This window comes from Homo sapiens, chromosome 6, assembly GCF_000001405.40.
Source record: "Homo sapiens chromosome 6, GRCh38.p14 Primary Assembly".
NCBI lineage: Eukaryota > Metazoa > Chordata > Mammalia > Primates > Hominidae > Homo > Homo sapiens.
In genome coordinates this window covers 100,239,326-100,245,225 of record NC_000006.12, presented here as the reverse complement: position 1 = coordinate 100,245,225, position 5,900 = coordinate 100,239,326, and positions in this window count along the sequence as shown.

Genomic DNA, 5,900 nt, shown 5'->3' with positions numbered 1-5,900 from the left:
TGAGCCCTCCTGGAAACAAGTAACCCAACTGTTAGGGCAAAGTAAGGAAAGGTGGGAGTAGTGAAAAGCTAATACTGAGTACCTAGTACATACCGTGCACCGCACAGTAAATTGTGGAGATATTTGAACTTAATCTGACTCTATGGCCATTCTTCTACCAAATGCTGTCACTCATAAAATGTACAAGCCTAAAATCATTTGGGGCTTTCTGGGATACTCTATGGAGACTTGATTGTGAACAGGCAGAGTAGGGGAGGATCCGATGGAGGGGCAGTCAGAAGATTTCAGGGTGGCAAAAGGAAGGAGCAGGCAATGTGCTCTTTTTAGGTACTGGATGTTGGCTAGAGAAACGGTGACCACTAATGGGATAACTTCATGTTTAAAACTTTTCAAAGAGCTTTCCCCTCCATTTTTTTCTGGCCAGCTTCACTATTTACACTGAGATCAGGGCTGGTCAGACTAGATATGTGATGAACTGCCAGAGTGAAGATTTGCATTCAGTAGAGCTGAGCTTGGAGGAGGGAATGTTATACACAGGGTAGAATAAGACTTCTACAGTAGGGCATACAGTCAAGTCAAAGTCCACAGGAAATGTCACAGGTCACACCTTGGAAGATGTTGTATAAACATGAAGTTCACAGTGCTAAAGGCAGGATTGAGGGCAGGGTCAGAGATGGAGAGTTTGAGATCAGATTGAGATGAGATTGGAGCAAAGGCAGAATGAGAGCAAGTAAGTTAAGACTGAGGCTTAAAGTAAAGTTTAGAATGAGTTCTTGAAATCATAGTGGAGGTCTGAACTTGCTTTTCTGGAAATGAGTTCATAGGATGTGGACAGGTAGGGCCAGCTTAAAGCTGAAAACAGTGTTAACATTAGCATTTGATTTTTAGGATGATCAGAAATGTCATACTATTTATGTTTTTTGTATAAGAAAACTGAGATCCAGAGAGACTGACTAATTTTCAGCCACATAGAATGTAAGTGATAGAGCTGTGGTGAGTGGGATTTATAGCAATGGTGAAGGAATAAGTGAGCACATCAGCACTATTCACGGGCATGTGACAGAAGTAGAAAGAACTAAGCAGTTTTGACTCTATTTGTCTAGCCATTAGGTTAACACAGGTGTGGGGGGACAAAACTCATTCTACAAATCCAAATGTGCATGAAAACTAACATTTTTTTAAAATCATATTTTAAAAATTTCTATGAGATCCCCTGCTCCATGGCAAAATATGTCAGTCTACTCAAGCAAAACATCTCTTGCTCTCAGAGTTGTTTTAAATTCCAGGTGGTGTGATATCTCCCAGGCCAGGAGAAAGAGAAGGGTAGGGGCAGGAATCTGGTGTGGATTCATCTTTTCATAATGACATCTGCTGAATTATCCTTTGTCCAGGCTATTCTCCATGGGTAGTCTCTTGATTTCTCGTAAGCTGCCTATGGCTCCCAGGCACAAAGTTTCGGCAGCTCCAACCAATGCCCCCAGAGGGCATGGACTTATTTGCTGCCATACTGGAGTGTCACAAAACCTGTTTTTTTTTTTTTTTTTTTTTTTTTTTTGTGTGTGTGTGTGTGTGTGTGTGTGTGTGTAGGGGTGATCTCTGGTCTTAGATGCAAAATAATTGTTCTCTTGTTAGAAAACTTACCCTGCTCCTTTCGTTATTTCCACAAGTCTTGGGCCCTGACTCCTCTTTTCCTCTGATGGGGACAATTGACACTTCCTCAATCTAATGTGAAGTATAGGCAAAAGCCAATATAGCAGATCAAGATCTCTTGCCCCTAAACCCCACTCCTCACTGCATGTAAATTCTGGAGTTGACCTTGCAGACCTTCATGGGCTATAGAGCATGTGTCAGGATGCAGTGCATTTCTCAGAGACTCCCTGCCAAATGTTCATCCAAATATCTTGATTTTCCTTAGCAACTGGATCGCCAAATACCTAAATGACTGGGTGTGATTGTAGCTTCTTCATCAGAAATTACAGCTAAGGCCAGGTCAGCCTGACATGAAGAGAAGTCAATTGCTTGTGGATAACCTCATCTCTGGCGGATATTCTTTTGTAAAACACATATGACCTTACATGTTTTAGGATCGTTTGATGAATGCTAATAGAATATTCTACTAATATTCATCTATTAAAAGACAGCTTTCTTTTTATCATAATAATTTATAATAAACATTGTGAATATATATACAGTTGATTAAGAATAGTTTTTCTCTGATTCACATTTTTCTTTGTTTGTGCCCTATTCCAATATAGCGGTGTGATAAATGAATGTTATAGAAATTTTTCATAAGACTGCCAGTTATTTTATAATAGTCAATTGTGTTTTTGTAAAATTTAACTTATTTCAGAGCTAATTCTATCACATACATATGTGAAACATTTATGGGATTTCTCTTCAGCTGCAAATAGAGAGGTGCTGGGTACTGTGAAATGGAACTGGATCGGACAGATTGAGTTCAAATAGTAGCTCAGTAGTAAAAAGTGTCACCTTAAAGCAGTCACTTAAATTCTCTGAGTCTTGATTTCATCCTCTGCAAATGGGTGCAAGATATCTGCTTTATGAGGAATGTGCCTTACATTGAACATCTGTTCCAAGGTACTGCACTGCACTTTCTTTAGCTGCCTTGCTACTATTAGTAATTGATATTTACAAATAAGTCTAGCAAAAAAGTGAAAGCACAGTAATGATGTCAAAAAGGTTATTAAATAAAATACTTTTCTGTGACCTCAGCTGAAGCTAGCTAGGGTTGTAGCAGAAGAAATGTCGGTGTCAGAAGACCTCGTCTCAAATCTTGTCTGTTATTTCTCACCTACTGACAAATAATTTCCTTGAGCCTCACATTTCAGTTGTAACAAACAGAGAGAGAGAGATAGTAATGCCTAGAGTTGTAGAGCCAAAATGAGATAACACATGAACATTTCTCAGATGCTTGCCCTTTATTAGGGGCACAATAAATGTTGTTGATTGAAACACTAAGCTCATTGAGAATTAATCATTTCAATTAAATTTTGCATAGTTAGCATTGTACTATGGCACCTCATAGTTTGTTCTAAGTAAATACTTTAAAAAATATTAGAAAATGATCTTTCATAGGCTAGCTTTCTTCTCACAGAAATTCATGGTGATAATCATTGCATTTACACAAAAAGAATCCCTATGATAAAGTGTCTTGTAATAACCTAAATTTGCCTATGACACAGCTTGTAATTGAATCTTATTCTCAACAGCAGGTTTATCCCGATCAGTTCTTTAATCTTACATTAATAACACCAAATTTTACATGATTAGATTTTTCAAACCCCAGTATTATGGTGAAGTTTACAATAGTTTTATTGCTGTGGCACTACTAGTATATTTGCTCAATGTGTTAGTCAAATAATGAGTTATTACCATGTTAGAGATGAGAAGACAGCAGGGAGATGGTCAATATTTCATCCAAGAATAGACAGGCAGATGATAAGTGACCAGCAGAAGGGGATTGGTCTACCCAAGGAAAATTTTGAAACAGTTTGTCTTCAGAGCACACCTATCCACTCTCCTTCCTTTCCAGTCTAATACGTAGAGCATCTTTTTAAAACTGCCTCAGGCTTTAAACTTCCTTCATCCTTTATCCATACCTTGAAGTTGTTAAAATGTATGTGGCTCATTCACTGCTCACTAAAAATTCCATTTTCTACTCTAAATTCCCCTACCTCCTTTGAAATTAGGTCAGGGCCAGATGACTAGGGCTGACCAATGGACTATGAATGGAAGTGACACGTGTGACTTCTGGCCCAAGGCAGTTAAGAGCTGGTGTACTTCCTCTGCTGCTAACTCAACTCCAGAAACATTGAAAACTACATTTGTGATCGCAACATCCAAGATGGAGACAGCCGGTGCCCCTGAGTTGTGGAGTAGAAGGAAAATCCTTTGGCAACCTGCTTTGGACTTTGAGTGAGGGAGAAGTGACCTTTGGTGTGCTAGAGCACTGAGATTTTAGGGATCATCTGTCACAGCACCTAGTGTAAATCCAGTAGAGAACAAGATATTCATTTGCACCATTACAATTATGTGCTTACCTTTGTTTTGTAAAGTGCACCATAATTTAGTTTTGTCTTTTCTAGAATTTTATATAAAGTAATCTAGCTTAAATCTTTTGTGTCTGATTTCTTTTGCTCTGCATAATATTAATGTGATTCATCCAGGTTTTTGTATGCCCATTCCTTTTGATTGTTTAGTATTATCTTACTGTATGAATATGTCACAACCTCCTGTTGGACATTTGGGTTGTTTCCAGTTTTTGGCTCTTACAAAATAAAGCTGTTTTGAAAATTTGTGTACAATATGTGTAGAATATATGTTTTCATATATGGTAGCCATATCATTTTTTATTCCTATCAACAATATGTGAGAGTTCCAGTTCTCCACATCCACACTAGACCTTGGTATCTTCTTTTCTTCCTCTTCTTCTTTTTTAAAATTTAGCCATTCTAAAAGATGTGCAGTGGTATTTCATTCTCGTTTTAATGTGCATATCCCCAGTGACTAATGATATTGAGCATCTTTTCATGCATTTGTTTGCCATCTGTATGTCTTCCTTCTTTGGTCAACTGTCTGTTCAAATCTTTTGTCCATTAAAAAATCAGGTTGTTTTCTTGTGGCTGCATTACAAGTTGTTTCATATATTCTGAATTATATATCCCTTATCAAGTATATGAGTTGCAAATATTTTCTCCTTGTTTGTGGCTTGCGTTTTCATTTTCTTAACAGTGTCTTTGGAAGAGCAGAAAATGTTAATATTCATGAAATCCAATTTATTTCATTTTTTCTTTTTTGATTCATGCTTTCTATGTTCCATCTAAGAAATCTTTGCCTAACCTGAAGTCACAAAGATTTTGTTCTGTGCTTCTCTTCTCGAAGTCTTATAGTTTTGCTGATGTATTTTGAAATAATTTTTATTTATGGTATGAGATACATTTATTTTTGTATACAAAATTGTTCCAGCACCATTGTTGAAAATGCTATGATTTCTCCATTCATATTGACATTTTTGTCAATAACCTATTTACCATATTGTCTCGATTTATTTCTGGATTCTCTATTCTGTTCTATTGATCTATATACCTATCCTTATGCTAATACCACATTAGCTTGTTTACTATAGTAATTCTCGAAATCAGATAATGGAAGTTCTCCAACTTTGTCACCCCATCCCAAAGTTATTTATGCTGCTCTAAGTCCTTTGGATTTCAACATAAATTATATAATTGGCTTGCTAATTTTTACCCCAGGACGCATAAGTATTTTGACTGAGAATATATTGAATCTGTACAGCAATCCAGGGAGAAATGACATCTTAACAATATTGAGCTTCCAATGTGAACTCAGTATACTTTTCACTTATTTAGCTGTTCTCTAGTTTCTGTCAGTAATGTTTTGTAGTTTTTCAGTGTATAGGTCACATACATATTTAATATATTCCCTATGTAGTTCATATATTTTTATGTTACCATTAATGGTATAATTTCTTTGTTCCAATTTTCAACTGTTCATTGCCAATATATAGAATTATAATTGATTTTTATATTGACCTTGGATTGTGCAAATTTACTATACTCACTTATTAGTTTTAGTAACTTTTTGGTAGATTCCTTAGAATTTTCTACATAGACAATAGAGTCATCTGAAAATACAGACAAAATATAAAGTTTTAATAATGAAATTTCAGACATAAAAAAAATCTTGGTCAGGCGTGGTGGCTCACGCCTGTAATCCCAGCACTTTGGGAGTCTGAGGTGGGAGGATCACCTGAGGTCAGGAGTTTGAGACCAGCCTGGCCAACATGGCAAAATCCCGTCTCTACTAAAAGTACAAAAATTAGCCAGGCATGGTGACGGGAGCCTGTAATCCCAGCTACT